Consider the following 18,614-nt stretch of genomic DNA (forward strand, 5'->3'; position numbering starts at 1 on the left):
AGGAAATGACTGAGCCCGTCTGGGTCCCCGCCCGCTCGCGCTCCCCTGGCCACACCCTCCGCCTGGACGCAGCAGCCACCGCCGCGTCCCTCTCTCCACGAGGCTGCCGGCTTAGGACCCCCAGCTCCGACGTAAGTCCCTCTCGTGCGCCACCTCCATCCGCTGCCCCTCTGCCCACGGGCCGGGCTCAGGTGGGTAGGGGTTTGACCCCTTCCGCTCCTCTCCGCCCCCCATCCACGCCCACATCTCTCTGCCTCCTCTCCTGGGCTACAGTGGGCCGCTCTGCCTCGCTCCCGCCCGCCTGCCTCAGTCTCCCCAGCTCTCTGCCACCCCCCTCGGACCAGTGCCTCTTAGGTCTCTCCAGCGCGCCATCCCTGCAAGGCGGCCCCTGACACCAACTCACTTTTTCCTCTGAGCGCGGGAGGCGTTACTCACTCTTCCTCCTTCCCCTCCTCGCCGACTCCCGGGCTCTGGGCCCCTGGGGGAGGGAAGAGGCCTCCTATCTACTCCTCTGCCCCAGTCCCCTCCTTGCGTCAGTCCCAGTGAGGGATAAGCGCCTGGCGGAAGGCGCAGGGAGGTGTTTCTCTGCTTCAGGAGTGCCCGCCGGCCCTTGCAGCTGCTGGAAGACCCATTTATCTCATGCTTCTTGTTTTCTTTGGGGACCTGCAGGGGAAGGAAGCAGGGTGACGGTTTGGTATCCCCACCTAAGACCCTCCCCTTTCCCCTGAGGCCAGCCGTCAGCCCCTGGCAGGGGGTCTTGGAAGCCAGAGGTTTTTGCTCAGGGCAGGGAAAGGGCTGCAGGATCCCCGGGGGCTGCCGGAGGTCGGTCTCACTGACATCATGGCTGACCCCAGCATCGCCTGGTCCCACAGATGTCGCCCTCTGGTCGCCTGTGTCTTCTCACCATCGTTGGCCTGATTCTCCCCACCAGAGGTAAGACCCATCTCTGGCCTCCACCCTGCCCCAGAGCCCCCAGCCAGGCCAGCCCCACGTGTGCTGCGGGGTGGGTGGTTGGCCCGTGTGAACGTTGTCCTGCCCTGTCACCCTCCCGCTGAGCCGGCACCAGGAAGTGGGGATCCCTATGGCGGGGCGACGTTACACCCTCTTTGGACACCTCAGACCCGGGTGGCTGCTTCCAGTGAGTCTGGCCAGGGCCTGTCCTGCTGAGCATCCTCCAATTTCACCTCCAAGAAGAACTCACTGAGTTTCATTTGGCGGGGAGATTGGTGTCGGTTTTCTACTCAGCAGCCAGGAAACCTAGGCTCCCAGAGTCCCCAGGCATTACACAGTTAGGCAAAGCTGTTGAGCTGGGGTTAGTCCAAAGAGTTGGCAACATCTCAGCCTTGCCTGGAAAGTGTCTCCTGAAAGATGGGAACCACAGGGGGGTATTGATCGTTCTTTCTGTGTGGCAGGTGTGGTGTGTGTTAGGTCAGTTAGGCTTTGCCTCTGACAGTCAGTCACACCTGTTGTCTTGCCCATTTTACTGATGAGGAAACTGAGGCTCAGCGAAGGGAAGTGCCCTGTGTCAGAGGAGAATGGGTGGAGGAGCTGAGAAAACAACTGTCCTGCCTGCCCCCAGAACCCAGGGTGCATGCCCCACTGAAGGCGCCCTCATTTCTCCTTCATAAAATGATTTTCATATACTCGTTCAGTCATTTGACAAATATTTATTGAGCACCTACTATGTGCTAGATATTCTGTGCACTGGGGAAACAGCACTGAATAAAACAAGAGGTCACACTCTAGTGGAGAGAGACAAGTTAGTAAATTATATCGTGTGCTAGGAGGTGATACGTGCTTGCAGAAAAGTAGAGGTAATGAGGATTGTTTAAACTGGGTGGTCAGGGAGGGCCTCACTGAGGAGGTGACATTTGGACCAACAAACACTTGGAGGAAATGAGGGAATGAGCTTTGCAGGTGTCTGGGGGCTGAGTGTTGTCTGGTGTGTTTTAAGAATAGCAGGCAGGTGGGGTGGCTGGGTTGGGATGAGAAGGGGCAGAGTGGGATGACGAGAGGACAGAGAAGTGATGGGACCAGATGGAGGAGGACTTACGGGCCACGTGAGGGCTTTGCTTTTATGTGGAGTGAAGTGCAGCCAGGGCAGGGCTCTGAACCAGGCGGGCCCCGACCTGACTCAGGTGGTCCCAGGCTCCCTCTGGCTGCAGGTTGGAACAGACTGTGGGGGCGGAGACAGGAGCAGGGAGCCCAAGAAGGAGGCTGCTGGGATGTCCAGGCTGGAGGGTACAGAGGCAGGACCAGGATGGGGGCAGTGGAGTTATCCAGCACTGACCACATGGTAAGCCGTGTGGGAGACCCTTTCCCTGCTCTGTGTCATTTCACCCTATCTACAGCCCTGTGAAGTAGATTCAGTTATTATCCCTGCTTTGCAGATGAAGCAACTGAGGCTCAGAGAAAGGACTTCACTTGTTCCAGGTCACACAGCAAGAAAGTTGTTGGGGGCAGGATTTGAAACCAGGGCCCAGGCTCACCCTAGCACCTGGGCTCACTAGACTAAACTGACTTTCCCATCCCACAGGGATGGGCGGGGAGGGGGACTAGAAGAAGGGTTCCCAGGCATTGGCATAGCTGAAAACACTTTCAGAATTATGGATTGATGCAGCCAAAGCTGAGTGATTCCACCAGCAGACAGGACCCCTAAGGTTTCACCAGGGAGGCGAGGGCGGGGGTGGTGAGAGGAGGGGGACCAGGCTCCCTCCTGACTTCTCATCCTTGATTCCCCAGGACAGACGTTGAAAGATACCACGTCCAGTTCTTCAGCAGACTCAACTATCATGGACATTCAGGTCCCGACACGAGCCCCAGGTGAGGAAAGGGACACATCTATCAAGATCCTGTCATTGCAAATAACAACAGCAACAAAAATCCCAAACTTGGACCAAACAAGGGAATTTATGGATTTATGTAACGAAAAAGTCCAGGTACAGACCTTCAGGCATGGCTTGATCTAGGTGCTCAAATGATGCTATCAGAACCTCTCTCCACCTCTTGGTTCTGTTTTCTCTGTGTTGGCTTCATTTTCAGGAAGAGTCTCCTCTCATGGGGCCAAGATGATCCCTTGAAGCCTGGGGCTGTCATCCTGTCTGCTAAGAATCCCAGCAAGAGAATTTCCTTTCCCCAGTCCAGCAAATGTCCCAGAACTGAGTTATCTTTGGCCAGGCTCAGGTCGTATCCCTGAGCTGGCCACTGTGGCCACAGGCATAGAAAGCTGATTGGCCAGGCCTGGGTTCCATGTCCAACCTCCACCAGGGCTGGTGTCAGCCCCGCTGAATAAAGTGGACCAAGAGTCAGGGAAGGATGGTCCCTAAAGGAAGTTCTGGGGGCTTTTATCAGAGCAGGTGCATTTGGGAAGCTGAGTTAAACATGTTTTTTTAGGCAGCACTTCTCAGAGTCTTGAGAAAGACAATTTGCAGCCAGCATCTCGAAGAAGGAGCTGTAGTGTGGCATCTGTGGGACGTAAGGTCCCAAAGAAGGGGACATATTGGTTACACATTTCGGCAGTTAGCAAATGGCTGGATTAATTAAGCCATTTCTATTACATTAAAGTTGAGTTGCTACGGGAATCTCTGGCATCTCCACCCATAGACCTTGCCCACTTCTTTTTCTCTCTCCTTTTCTCTCCGTGACTCCTTGTTTCTGGACTCCAGATGCAGTCTACACAGAACTCCAGCCCACCTCTCCAACCCCAACCTGGCCTGCTGATGGTGAGTAGTGCAGGGGCAGGCGGCGGGGACAGGACCAAGACAAACAAAGTTTCCCCTCTTCCTCTGACACTATAGGTCTTTGGTTGCCCATTTCAGTCCCTACTCCCAGCTCTGAATGCCCTGGTTTACTCTGGGTGGGGACAGCCAACTCCATTCAATTCTTTAGAAAAAGAAAACCAAAACGCTTTTGAAATTGTGAAATTAACATGCATATAGAAAAATACAAAACCCATAAATTTACAGTGTAATAACTTACTCTAAATTGAATCCCTATGTAACTACCAACCGGGTCAAGGAGCAGAACTTTGCAAACACCCCCAGAAAGTCTCTGTGTGCCAGTCCCATTTATTTCTTCCTTTCATCTCTTTTTTCTCTGATCCCTTTTTTGAATTTTTTGAACAATTTTTGGACGTTTTCTTGAAGTATAATTCAAAAAGTGCTCCCGGCCAGGCACAGTGGCTCATGCCTATAATCCCAGCACTTTGAGAGGCCAAGGTGGATGGATCACTTGAGCTCAGGAGTTCTAGACCAGCCTGGGCAACACAGTGAGACTCCATCTCTACAGAAAAATACAAAAATTAGCCGAGTGCGTTGGCGTGCTCCTGTAGTCCCAGCTACTCGAAAGGCTGAGGCAGGAGAATCACTTAAGCCCAGAGGCAGAGGTTGCAGTGAGCCAAGATCTTGCCACTGCACTCCAGCCTGGGCAACAGAGCGAAACCCTGTCTCAAAAAAAAAAAAAAGTGCTCCCTGATTTTTTCAATCGATGTTTAAAGACACAGTAGTACAAAAACACATTCTGCCTGGAAAGAATAAAATGATTGTAGGCAAAACTAAACCCCTTTGTCACCTCCCCTCCCCAATCCTCGTTCTCTCCCTCTGTCTCTGAGAGGTCCCCACTGTCAGCATTGGGGTAGGTCCCCAGTGATACCACATCCCATGTATATTACTTGGAGAAAATGCACTGACTGTGTGCTGTGTTTGTGTGAGCTTAAGGAGACCTTATGATTGTTCTGCAGCTTGCTTTGTTTCTTCGTGCAGTCGTATGTTTGGAAGTTCTTCTCACATCACTGCATAAAGACTTGTTTTGTTTTCTCTCCTGCCTGGTATTCCACAAGGCGCCTATATCACAGCTTATGGAGTCACACACTTCTTGATGAACATGTTGGCTGTTTCCAGCTTTTTCTGTCTACACACAGCACCACAATGAGCAACTTTGTCCCTTCCTCCTTGAGCAAACGCACTTGGAATATGTACTGACTATGTGCTGGTCATGGTTCTAAATATTTTGCGTATGTTAACTCATTCAACCTTCACGCAAACCCTAAGAGGCAGAAATTACCATTGTCCCCATTTTACAGACAAGGAAACAGAGGCTGTGAGTAACTGGTTCAAGGTCTCACAACAAGTCAGGGACGCAGCTGGAATCGAAGTCCAGGAATCTGGCACCAGAGCCTGTGCTTTTATCCAAGACAATACAGGGCAAAGGACATGCATGCTTAATGTTTTAAAATTTGCCCTCCTGCCGCCCAGGCACAGTGGCTCATGCCTGTCATCCCAGCACTTTTGGAGGCTGAGGCGGGTGGATCGCTTGAGCCCAGGAATTTGAGACCAGCCTGGACAACACAGCAAAACCTATTCTCTACAAAAAGTACAAAATGATTAGCTGGGCATGGTGGCATGTGCCTGTAGTCCCAGCTACCTGGGAGGCTAAGGCGGGAGAATCACTTGAGCCCAAGAGTTCAAGGCTACAGTGAGCTATGATTGCACCACTGCACTCCAGCTCAGGTGATAGAGTGAGACCCTGTCTCAAAAATAAATAAAAGTAAAAATAAAAGTTCCCCTCCCAAGTGACTGTACCCATTTCCTAACCCACCAGCAGTGTGCAGGAGTGTCCCCCTTCCCAACCCTACAGTGACACTTGGTATACTGACATTTTCAGGTTTTGCCAGCCTCTTAGGTTTTTTCTGAGATGGAGTTTTGCTCTTGTTGCCCAGGTCGCTGTGCAATGGTGCAATCTCGGCTCACCACAACCTCTGCCTCCCAGGTTCAAGCAATTCTCCCTCAGCCTCCCGAGTAGCTGAGATTAGAGGCATGAGCGACCACGCCCAGCTAATTTTGTATTTTTAGTAGAGACAGGGTTTCTCCATGTTGGTCAGGCTGGTCTCGAACTCCCGACCTAAGGTAATCTGCCCGCCTCGGCCTCCCAAAGTGCTGGGAATACAGACATAAGCCACCGCGCCCGGCCCCAATTCTCTTTCCCCAGTGACTCTTTCTTATCCTTCCCTCCTTGCTCTCCTGACCTGAATAGAAACACCACAACCCCAGACCCAGACCCAGCAACTGGAAGGAACGGATGGGCCTCTAGTGACAGATCCAGAGACACACAAGAGCACCAAAGCAGGTATAGCATGGGACTGAGAGCAGCAGCCTACGATTTTTGTTTAATTCTCTATCTAGGTCAACATTTCCCTCAGTACGTTTCTCAGTGCCCCTGTTTGGGGAATTGTTAATACATTTAAAAAAAATGTTTTTGGTTTGTGGTCAAAGTTATTTGGGGAACCCTGAGTTAAAGTTAACCATGTTTCTTTGTGGCAGGACTTCTGAGAGTCTTCATTAAGCTAATTTTCAGCAAAGGATCCCCAAGGGGCAGCGTGCAGTATGCAGTGTTTCCCTAACTGATAGACTTTGGAACTTTCTTTCTGTCAGTTCCCCTCGGAGGGCTGGGGCTATAGAATGTGCCTGTGGATATTTCTTTTTTGTACATCTCCTTAATGTTAGAGCAGGAGCTTTTCAGTTGCAAAATATAGAAAATTCACCTTAAACACACACACACACACACACACACACAAAAGAATGATTGGCTATATAAGTTCTGGAAAGTCCAGAAGTAGCCAACTTCAGGCATAGCTGGATCAAGGCGAGTAAGCACTGTCATGAGTGCTTTGTTCCCTCTCTTGGTTCTGTTGTCTTCATTCTCTACTAACTTCTCCCCTCTTGATGGCAGAGATGGTCCCATAGTTCTAACTTTAGGTCACATACGTGGTGGCTAGAGAACAAAATCTTTCCCATTATTTCTAGCCTGAGGCCTAGAATTGACTCTCATTGGTTCAGCTGGAGTCACATGCTCATGTCTGAACCAATGAGAGCCTGAGAAATGAGCTGCTCTCATTGGTCAGGCCTGAGTCTTGTGCCCCACCCTGGGGCTAGAGAAGAGGCTCAGCCAGCCATGCCTGAACCACATAGACCAAGAGTCAGGGAAGAGGGGATTTTCCTTTGGACAAGTGAGTTAGTATTACCAGAAGGTGTGGGAAAGGAGACTGAGCTGAGATAAGGCAACAGATCGCCTCTAATGCCTGCGTGATGATCCTTATTTGAGGGGCAGCCCCACACTGGAAAGTGTTGTAGAGTAGGCCACTCCCAGAGAGACATGTACAGTTGTGCAGACTGGGTACTGAACGAGAGCACCACCTCTCGGGCAATGCCATTCCCTTTGTCGGTCTTTATAATTGTTCCAGTTTTCTAGTGATAGCAGCAAAGCATCTCATTCTTACAGAATCTATCTATTAAAACAATCCTACAATGGATGGAAATAAAGTGCTTTACAGAAGGGAACTTTTCTAGTTTGTACAAAAGTGCACCTGTAGGGGTGGGGGATAGCAGCTGTGTCCACACTTATCAATGATAAAGCATTCTCACATCACTGCATTAATTTACTGAGTCTTTGCTGACCTGAGTTGCTCTATGTATTGGTCCATGTTCCTGGATATATGTGACAGAAATTCATCAAGGACAAATGGCTGTCACTGCTGAGCCTCTGGGTTGCCTAGAGGCTGGGCATGAAAGCCCCCAGGGCCTCTCTTCCTCCTCTATCTTTGCTTCTCTTCCACCTAGGAAGGAAATGGCTCATGTTATTTGAGCCTCCTAGCTCAAAACTTCCAGACTTCACCTAGGGTTTTAATCTGCTCAGGTTACGATAACAAAATACCACAGACTGGATGGCTTAAACAATAGGAATTCATTTCTCCCGGTTCTGGAGATGGGAAGTCCAAGATCAAGGTGCCAGAAGGGTTGGTGTCTGTCGAGGGCTCCCCTTGGGTCACAGACAGCCATTCTCTTGCTCTGTCTTCACCATGTCCTCTCCATGTGTGGGTGGGCTTGTGAGCTTGAAAGCAAGCTCTCTGGTGTCTTCTTATAAGGGCACTAATCCCATCATGAGGGCCCCACCCTCATGATCCTATCTAACCCTAATTACCTCCCAAAGGCCCTCGCTCCAAAATACCATCACATGGAATTTGGTGGGGTGGATAGAATTCAGTCTATAGTACCTAGCTGTCACTCAATATCCCTACTTGGGATTTCAAAGGTCTCAGGGAAGGACCAGACTGAGGTCACAAGCTTCCTTTTGTAGCCTGGGTTATAACTGGGGAAGGGAGGGCAATGTCTTCCCACAAAGAAAGGGAGAGCTGTTCCAGAAGGAGGAAGAGTGCTGAGCAGACAGTAATAGCAATGGCTGACTTTTGCTGAGAGCTTGTTCATGCTGGGCACTGTGCTAAGCTTCTGTGTATTCAGTCATTTGATGCTTGTGATCATCCTGTGTGGTGGGAACTGTCATTACTCCCATTTTACAGGAAAAGGAACTGAGGCCCAGAGAGGTTACTCAGCTTGCCCTAGGCAATACAGCCAAGAGTGGCAGAACCGGAATTTGAGTCCAGACTGTCTCACCCCAGGGTGCATGAGCACCACACACCAGTATGGCTGTCCTTCGCATTCCTGTGGTCTCTGCCGTGGATCTGGCTTATACCTTCCTCTGGGCAATGCATTCCCTGAATATCTTGTAATCCTTGGTTGCCAGTTCCTATTTAGGGTGTGGGGCACTGAGATAATTCCAGGGAACTTGGGTTTCACGAGGGAGCTTCTCTGTCTGCTGGCTTCTTGTTGAGGCCTCCGATGTGGTGTGGGGGCACTTCTCAGTGCTTGGGGGAGGCCTTTTCTTTGGAGGTACTGATTTTTTTTTTTTTTTCAAGAGAAGAATCCTTTGGTATTTTCGGTCTGGGGGCAGAGGTGATATTCAGAATAGTTTTGTTGTTGTTGTTGTTTTTGAGACAGAGTGTTGCTCTGTTGCCCAGACTGGAGTGCAGTGGCGAAATCTTGGCTCACTGCAATCTCCACCTCCCGAGTTCAGGCAATTCTCCTGCCTCAGCCTCCCAAGTATCTGGGATTACAGGTGTGTGCCACCAGGCCCAGTTAATTTTTGTATTTTTAGTAGAGGCGGGGTTTCACCATGTTGGCCAGACTGGTCTTGAGCTCTTGGCTTCAGGTGATCTGCCCGCCTCAGTCTCCCAAAGTGCTGGGGTTTACAGACATGAGCCACTGCACCCAGCCAATATTCAGAATGTTTTACAAGTTTCTCCAGACTATGTAGCTGGGTCAGAGTCCTTGGCAGGTGTTGCCCTTTCGTTCCTTTATCTCCTGGATTATAGTGTGGGCCAGAAGGTCCTAGGAGAGGGGTCTGGAGTCCCTCGGGGATTGAGGCAGATCAGATAGTCGCAACCGGGGCTATGTGCTTATTTCAGCATTTCAATGCCTGTCATTACTTATTGCCTCTAGGTGTGGAGTAGGGGGGATGCCTGACCCTGCACACCAGCTGTGTAGATGTGGGAGAGGGGTTTCTTCCAGATGCAGACTCTCAGTAATATCCCTTGTTTCTGCCTCCATGGCTCACTCCTGCCCTCCACTGATCTGGCCACTCTCTCAGCTCATCCCACTGATGACACCACGACGCTCTCTGAGAGACCATCCCCAAGCACAGACGTCCAGACAGACCCCCAGACCCTCAAGCCATCTGGTTAGTAACTGCCTCCCCAGACTGGAAACAGGCTATTTTCTGTTCACTGTGTATTTCCAGCACCTGGAGTACAGCCCAGCACAGAATAGTTCTCAGTAAAGACGTGATGGGAAAGTAAATGACTTCAAGCCAGGCAGAGGGTGGGCACATGATAAATGTCTGAATAGATAAGTGAATGCATAAATTATTGCTGCATACAAACCACCTAAAAACTCAGTGGCTTAAAAGGATAACCATTTATTTAGCTCTCATTTCTGCAATTTGGAAATCTAGGGTGTGCTCAGCTGGCTGGTTCTTCTGGTTTCAGCTGGACTTACTCATGCGTCTGAGGTCAGTTGTGGGTCAGCAAGGACCTCTGTTTCTAGGGGCAATTTGATTCTTTCCCTGGTGATCTTATCCACCACTTCCTGCCCAGTCAGCCCCCCAGTGAATGAATGGAAATGATACGCCCATGGGTCACATAGAGAGCCCATTCATCCATTCATTCAACAAATAGTCACTGAGTACTTGTGTGCTAGGCTAGTTCTAGGGGACAGAGATAGAGTGGTGAACAAGCCAGAAAAAATCTCTGCCCTCATGGAACTACTATTCTAGTGGTAAGAGAAACACAACAAGAAATAATCATAATTATGTATCAGTTGATTTCAACTTGCTATCAAGAAAAGTAAAGTAGGGTTAGAGAGTGACTGGGGAGTACAGGTTGAGTATTCCTTATCCAAAATGCTTTGGACCAGGAGACTTTCAGATTTCAGATTTTAGAATATTTGCATTATACTTACCAGTTCAACTTTCCTGACCCAAAAATCTGAAGTCCAAAATGTTCCAGTGGGCATTTCCTTTCGGTGTCATGTCAGACTGTTACTGGAAAGGGGTTCCGATCCAGACCCCAAGAAAGGGCTGTTGGATCTTGCACAAAAAAAGAATTCAGAGAGTCCATAGAGTTTATTTAGAAAGTAAAGGAATAAAGAATGGCTACTCTATAGGCAGAGCAGCCCCACAGGCTGCTGGTTGCCTGTTTTTATGGTTGTTTCTTCGTTATATGCTAAACAAGGGGTGGATTATTCATGAGTTTTCTGGGAAAGGGGTGGGCAATTCCCAGAACTGAGGATTCCTCCCCTTTTTATACTGTATAGGGTAACTTCCTGATGTTGCCATGGCATTTGAAACTGTCATGGTGCTGGTAGGAGTGCCTTTTAGCATGCTAATGTATTATAACTAATGTATAATGAGCTGTGAGGATGACCAGAGGTCACTGTCATTGCCATCTTGGTTTTGGTGGGTTTTAACTGGCTTCTTTACTGCAACCTGTTTTATCAGCAAGGCCTTTATGACCTGTATCTCGTGCCGACCTCCTATCTCATCCTGTGACTAACAATGTCTAACCTCTGGGGAATACAGCCCAGTAGGTCTCAGCCTTATTTTACCCTATTCGAGATGGAGTTGCTCTGGTTCAAACACCCCTGACATGACATCAAAAAGTGTCAGATTTGGGGACATTTTGGATTTTGGATTTGGGGATTAGGGATAGTCAACCTGTATTTCATATACAAAACCAGGGAGGGCCCCACTGGGAAGGGAGTGAAGGAGGGAGCCATGCGGATGTCTAGGGAAAGTGTGTTCCAGGCAGAGGAAACAGCCAGTGCAAAGGCCCTGAGGTGAGAAGGTGTCTGCATGTTCAACAGCAGGGAGGCCAGTAGGGCTGGAGTGCAGGGAGTGAGGGGGATAGGAAGGAAATGAGATTAGAGGAATAATGGGAGCCAGATTGTGTGCCATGGTGAAGATTTTGGGTTTTGTTCTAAGGGTACCCAGGTATCCCCCTTTCCTGACTTTGCCATTCACGTATTCACTTCACAAACCTTTGCTGAACCCTGACTTGCTCTTTGTCTGCCTCTCCAGGTTTTCATGAGGATGACCCCTTCTTCTATGGTAAGTTATCCACAGGAAGATGTGGGGGAAGGAAAGGTGAGGTCCGTCTGACTCTACCCCTTCATTTTTCTCTCTGCAGATGAACACACCCTCCGGAAACGGGGGCTGTTGGTCGCAGCTGTGCTGTTCATCACAGGCATCATCATCCTCACCAGTGAGAACTGGGGTTGGGTGGGAAGGACACCAAGACCAGGAGGGGGACTTATGACGGAGGGCTGGGTTCTCAAAGGTCCCTGGGCAATTTTGTTTTAAATGAGGTATCTATTAGCTGCATATACATACAAACCACCACAGAATTCAGTGGTTTAAAATAATGACCATTTATTGAGCTCTCAATACCACAGTTTGGAAACATAGGCTGGGCTCAGCTGGGTGATTCTTCTGGTCTCAACTGGATTTACTCTTGCATCTGAGTTCAGTTGTGGGTCAGCAGGAAACTTTGTTTCTGGGGTGCCTTGGCTCTTTGCCACATCATCTTATCCTTCACTAAGCTAGCCTGGGCTTGTTCGCATGGTGGTGGCAGGGATCTAAGATAGAGTGAATGCATGCAGGCTCAGAACTGGCCATTATCACTTCTGCCTCATTCCATAGGTCAAAGCAAGTCATGAGGCTGGGTTTCATTCAAGGAAATAGACTCCACCTCTTGATGGGAAGATAGGCAAAGTCACATGGCAAAGGACATGGATACTGACAGGGAGGGGTAGAGACTAAGGGCCATTTGGCGGTCAGCATACCACCCCAGCAGTCACAAGCCCACTGCACCCAGGCCTGGCAGGGAACAAGGGCTGAAAAAGGCTGTGTCAGGAGGAGATAACTGAGGATTAAATGCCTCATGGAACAACCCCACCCACTCAATCCAGCAAGAATAGAGGCTTGAAGCAGCCAGAGTAACTACTCTTTTAAGAGCTTAATGTTTCTGTAAAATCTTTTGGTACTCAAATGTTGACAGCTGTGTTGATCAGGGTCATGGCAGGTGGCAGAAGGACCTGCAAACGATTAACTGGAGAAAGTTTAATAGAGTGATATCTCTGGAGGTACAGGCAGGGCAATGAGATGGTGCAGTGCCCTAGGACTAGCAAGGATGGGGACCTGTTATCCCCCAGCCTGAGGGACAAGAGGAGGCACTGGCTTTGCAGGAGGCCTGGTGAGAGATGGAACTGGAGGTGGGGCTGCTGGCAGGAGCTGTGGCCTCAGAAAGAGGGTTCCAGCCACTGCCTCACTTGTGACCAAACCAGGAGGGAGCAGGGGTGGTGGGGATCAGATACCTAAACCTCCCTCTCCTCCCACCCCCCTGTCTCCTGCCAATGCTTAACCAGAGGGCAAGGGGCCCAGGGCCCCATGCAGGGAGAGGAAGTTGTGGGGAAAGGCAGAATAACAAGCAGAGAAACTAATTTTTTAAAAAGGTTTTTAAAATGTTGTGGGTGAAATAAAACACGAGCTATCAGTTAATCTGTATAACCAATGCCAAGTTTCATTACCTCTCTTGTCCAACTTCCTCATCAAGAAAATGAGCATAGCCACATCTTTTTTTGCCTTAAGGGGAGAGGCAGAATTCTAACAATCATAAGACATGATTCCTGATGTGTGCGTGATCCCCACTGAATCTGAGAGTCAAGCACTGTTGCCTCGGTCATACAACATGTATGTGTTGATCCTGACTTTGCACCAGGTCCTATTCTCACCCCAGTGGAGAAGTTAAGGCTCAGAGAGTTAAGGAGTTTGCCTAAGGTCACACAGCACAGAAGAGTCAGTAAATTCATTTGCTGGCGGGACACGGTGGCTCACTCCTGTAATCCCAGTACTTTGGGAGGCCAAGGTGGGAGGATGGCTTGAGCCCAGGGGTTCAAGACCAGCATGGGCAAAATAGCAAGACCCTATCTCTACACAAATAATTTTTTTTACTTAAAAAAAAAAAAGAATCAGTGAAGGATTGGACCCAGGTTTGTGTGAGAGCAGAGCCTGAACGTTAGCTCTGGGGCCATGTATTTTTCCAACAGCAAATATTTGTGGGCTCCTAGTCTGTGCCAAACCTGTGCTGGGTGATGCTGGGGGCATGGTGGTGACAAGCAGCCCTGGTCCCTGTCCTCAGGAGCTCACATCTGGTCGAAGATGATAAGCAAATAAATGCATGAATGAGTGGATACAGAGAAAGATATTTGCCAAATAAAGCAGAGTGACAGGGAAGAGAGGGGTGGGGAGAGAAGCCCTCCCTGGAGTGGTGAAATTGGAACTGATCCCTGATGATGAGATGAATCACCAGGTAGAGAGAGCAGCAAGTGCCAAGCCCTGGAGGCAGGAATGAGCTGCGCCCATTGCTATAGCAGCAGAGGAGGCAAAGTAGCCAGGACAGGGTAGGTTGGGGGAGAGGAGAAGACGAGGCCAGAGAGCTGAGGGGCTGGAGGAGGCAAGGGTGGCAGGTGTTTTCTAAAGTACCCTTGGCTTCTAAGTTCCCCCTCCCTCACTCTGGAGCAGCCACAGATGAGTCTCTGGAACCCATCTGTGTCCTCGTACCTCAAGGCCTTTGCGCTGCTGTTCCCTCTGCCTGTAACACCCTTCCTCCAGGTGTCTCCCTTACGTCCTTCAGACCTTTGTTCAAATGTCACCTCCTTGGCAGGCCACAGTGGTTCACGTATGTAATCCCAGGACTTTGGGAGGCTGAGGCAGGTGGATCCCTTGAGGCCAGGAGTTCAAGACCAGCTTGGCCAACATGGTGAAACCCTGTCTTTACTAAAAATACAAAAATTAGCTGGGCTTGGTGGCACATGCCTGTCATCCCAGCTACTCGGGAGGCTGAGGCGGGAGAATCGCTTGAATCCAGGAGGTGGGGGTTGCAGTGAGCTGAGATTGTGCCACTGCATTCCAGCCTGGGTGACACAGCAAGACTCTGTCTCAAAAAAAAAAAAAAAAAGTAACCTCCTCATTGAAGCCCCAGTAGCCATCCCTGTGAGGATGAGCCCAGCTCCTGGGCCTCCATGCCTCCTTCCTGGCCTTATTTCCCTTTGTAGGACTTAACACCCTCCCACTTAGCACCTTCATACATTTGATTTTGTAATTTTTCTCCTTGTTGGTCTTTCCCCATAGAAAGACAACTCTGCCAGGGCAGGGATTTTTTTCTTTGTCCTCAACTGTGTTCTTAGTGCCTGAATGAATGAATAAGTGAGATACAAAATAATGGGAGTTTCCAAACGGCTCATCTGTGAGCCTGTGTGGGAAGGGCCTCTCGCAGGGCCCCAGCACTGGCTGTTCTCGGTGTGTTTCTCCATCATTTGTTTATGGAGTTGCCTTTGAGTTTCCCGAGGGGCAGGGTTGATCAATCTGGTTCCCCAGCCCCACAACACACGATAAGAATCAATATCACTCTAGCTCGTGACTGAATCATTTCCTTCACCCACAGGTGGCAAGTGCAGGCAGCTGTCCCGGTTATGCCGGAATCGTTGCAGGTGAGTCCATCAGAAACAGGAGCTGACAACCTGCTGGGCACCCGAAGACCAAGCCCCCTGCCAGCTCACCGTGCCCAGCCTCCTGCATCCCCTCGAAGAGCCTGGCCAGAGAGGGAAGACACAGATGATGAAGCTGGAGCCAGGGCTGCCGGTCCGAGTCTCCTACCTCCCCCAACCCTGCCCGCCCCTGAAGGCTACCTGGCGCCTTGGGGGCTGTCCCTCAAGTTATCTCCTCTGCTAAGACAAAAAGTAAAGCACTGTGGTCTTTGCCCCAGGATCTCTGATCATTTGGGACAGGGGAGTGGAAAGAGGAGGCAGGGGCTGCCTCAGGGCCCTCAAGGAATAAAGCAAAGGCCGGACGTGGTGGCCCACACCTATAACCCCAGCACTTTGGGAGGCTAAGGCGGGAGGATCACTTGAGGCCAGTAGTTCAAGACTAGTCTGGGCAACATAGTGAGACCTTGACTCTACAAAAAATAAAAATATTAGCTGGGCATGGTGGTGCGTGCCTAGAGTCCCAGCTACTCAGGAGGCTGAGGCAGGAGAACTGCTTGAGCCCAGGAGGTCGAGACTGTAGTGAGCTGTGATTGCACCACTATATTCCTGCCTGGGTGACAGAGTGAGATCCTGTTTCTAAAAAAGAAAAATATAACAAGCCAAGGCAGGGAATAAAGTTAGGGAAGCCAGTCTAGTGTGTGGCAGACAGGATGGCGGTGGGCGGTTGCAGGTGAGTCTGTGTGCTGGGTGACTGGCCAGAGAGAGAGTCAGGGCTGGCTTCTGCCTGCAGTCAGTTTGAGAACACTGGCGTGGTCCCCATAAGGGAGCAGGTACCCAGTGTCAGCTCACCCCTAACATTTTTAAGGGTTTGGAGGTCCCAGATCACAGGGATCCCCTCTCCTTCCTACTTCTAGTCCCTTCCCACACCGGGAGGGGCCTTGCACACATGAGTGTGGATGCCACAGCCTGCACCTCCAAGCTCTATCCACAGCCCCCAATACACAAATGGCCACCCTCCAGGGCACTTCTTGGCTTAGGAATGTGTCCACCAAGAAGGCCCTGCAGGCCCCAGCATGGGCGCAGAGCAATTTGGGAGAGGAATTCAGGGGTCCTAGGGATCTAGAACATGGTCGAGAAGAGCATAGGTGCTGGTGGGCACTTCCTGAAGGCCCTTGGGCTCGACCAGATTAGGCCAGAGCAGGTCCCCTGAAGTGCAGGACTTAGACCAGAGCTCTACTCAGGCTTAAGGGTCGTGCCAAAATCAAGAGACAAGGTCCCGGTCACAGGGCTTACATAACAGTGTTTCACAACTTCAGGTCATAGCCCATTCATGGGTTACTAAATCAGTTTAGTGGGCTCTGAGTAGCATAAGAAAAAAGAGAGAAAGAAAGAATAATTTTTAAAAGACATTAGTATATCACTAATAAATGTAAGATTGTATATATATAATATACATAGCATGTCATATACATCATATGCAATATAATTATATATAATGTATAGAATATGACAATTATAACATATATAATTGTTATTAATGCATCACTATAAATGTTATTACTGCATCACTAATCTCAAATATAAGACTGTATATATAATATGTAGCATGTTATATACATTATATATGTATGCATATCTTCATTATAATATGTATATTATACACATACAGGGGGATACTAAAATTATTTCATTATTTGCACCTACCACATAAAGCAGAACAGATGTCTAACTGATCAGGAGGGGATGTCATCTAGATATGAGTATACATTTACATATACAATGGATTATGTCTTTTTTTTTCTCTTTTTTTTTTTTAGATGGACTCTTGCTCTGTCACCCAAGCTGGACTGCAGTGGAGTGATCTCAGCTCACTGCAACCTCTGCTTCCCAGGTTCAAGCGATTCTCCTGCCTCAGCCTCCCAAGCAGCTGAGATCACAGGCGCCCGCCACCACGCCTGGCTAATTTTTGTATTTTTAGTAGAGATGGGGTTTCGCCATGTCGGCCAGGCTTGTCTCGAACTCCTGACTTCAGGTGATCCGCCCGCCTCAGCCTCCCAAAGTGCTGGGATTACAGGTGTGAGCCACCATGCCCAGCCTGATTATATATATTAAGTTGAATAATTTGAAAATGTCAATATTCAAATGTGTTTGACCTATAAAACTAGCAATGTCATATGGCTCAACCTAACAGTATACATGATAGTGTGATATGAAATGCATTTCATACTGCAGGTTGCTTTTTGAAAACGTTGAGAAGCACTGGGCAGTGGGGGACATAGGTTGTGGCAGGGAAGATAAATTTCCGGTTAGAACAGGAAATGCTGGCAGCTATTTTTGCCTGCTGGCTGGGTGGTGGCCACACCAGTGTGTGCAAGATGTTTCTAGTACGATAGTTCTCAAACTTCAATCATCACATATTCCCAACTTATGACATATTTTCACCCCATCTGTACTATTATTCTCTCTTTTAAAAGATCAACTCCCTTTTTAGTTTAAACATATTTATTTTAAAAGCCACAATCATGTATGGAAAATCAGTACTGCTTGATATAGATAGAAGATAGCTATAAAGATAAATCCAAGGCCAGGCGCAGTGGCTCACGCCTGTAATCTCAGCACTTTGGGAGGGAGACCGAGGTGGGTAGATTATTTGGGGTCAGGAGTAAGAGACCAGCCTGGCCAAGATGGTGAAACCCTGTCTCTACTATATAAAAATACAAAAATTAGCTGGGCGTGGTATCGCACGCCTGTAGTCCCAGCTACCCAGGAAGCTGAAGCACAAAAATTGCTCGAACTCAGGAGGCAGAGGCTGCCGTTAGCTGAGATCGTGTCACTGCACTCCAGCCTGGGTGACAGAGTGAGACTCTGTCAAATAAATAAATAAATCCAGTGAAAAGAAATGAAGATGTTATGTTGCATTCTAGCTGGGTCTGGAGTTTCTTGCAGAGGGCTGTGAACCAGAGGCCTGGGTCTGTGGTGTTGGAGGGAGACCCTCAAATATCAGGGAGGTGATCTTCACGCTGCTGCCCAAAGAAACTGCAGGGTTTGGGAGTTTCTTTGGAACTCTCAGCTCTGACTGTGAGTCTCACTTCTGACACCAGCTGCGGGTTTGAGGGTTCCCGAGGGTTTGACAATTCACTACAAGGACTCACGGAACTCACCGAATGCTCTCAGACTCACAGTTAGGGTTTATTATAGTGAAAGGAAACAGATGAAAGCCAGCCGAGGACAGAGACACATGCGGAAGCATCCAGGAATGTCCCAAGTGCAAAGCTTCCAGCTGTCTCCTCCCAGCGCTGTCTTCTGCGGGCACCCATGTGGGACAGTACACGCAGAGTGTTGCCAATCAGGGAAACCCACTCGAGCCTTGGCGTCCAGAGTTTTTACTGGGGCTCAGTCACATAGACGTAATTGACCACACGTGTGGCCGACATTAGTTTCCAGCCCCTCCAGGGGTGGAGCTGATACTGTGTGGCCCACATTCCTCAATGGAAATCACACTGTTAGAAATGATCTGGTGTGGCCCTAGGTCCCTATGTAAATAGAGACACTCTTATCAGGCAGAACATTCCAAGGGCTTAGAGATTACCTTCCAACAGCAAGGCCAGAAGTCAGCCCTTTGGGGTAAAATTAATTCCTTACTATAGAGACTTTCTCCCTCATCTCATTTGATGGATTAAGAGA

General features: G+C 49.3%; 1 protein-coding gene across 9 annotated transcripts, besides 1 other annotated feature; it reads left to right on the plus strand.

The window, feature by feature from the left end:
* Positions 57–15,203, plus strand: FXYD5 (FXYD domain containing ion transport regulator 5). 9 transcript variants are annotated; one of them, NM_001164605.2, is made up of 9 exons: positions 57–354; positions 873–933; positions 2,743–2,823; positions 3,666–3,722; positions 6,031–6,123; positions 9,478–9,567; positions 11,464–11,493; positions 11,573–11,647; positions 14,888–15,203. In NM_001164605.2, exons 2-9 carry the CDS (start codon positions 873–875, stop codon positions 14,935–14,937), a joined length of 537 nt encoding a protein of 178 aa, NP_001158077.1. In that variant the 5' UTR covers positions 57–354; the 3' UTR covers positions 14,938–15,203. The 9 variants fall into 9 exon arrangements, 8 of the variants coding, with proteins under 8 accessions (NP_001158077.1, NP_659003.1, NP_001307841.1 ...); NM_144779.3 differs by having other exon boundaries at positions 57–191; NM_001320912.2 differs by having other exon boundaries at positions 57–131; positions 11,573–11,750.
* Positions 828–997: an enhancer, noted in NCBI's record as "active region_14457". NCBI's record gives its function as "activates an Ori minimal core promoter by ATAC-STARR-seq in GM12878 lymphoblastoid cells {active_cell/tissue: GM12878}" and the evidence as "EXISTENCE:reporter gene assay evidence [ECO:0000049][PMID:35858748]".

This window comes from Homo sapiens, chromosome 19 (genome assembly GCF_000001405.40).
Source record: "Homo sapiens chromosome 19, GRCh38.p14 Primary Assembly".
Taxonomy (NCBI): Eukaryota; Metazoa; Chordata; class Mammalia; order Primates; family Hominidae; genus Homo; species Homo sapiens.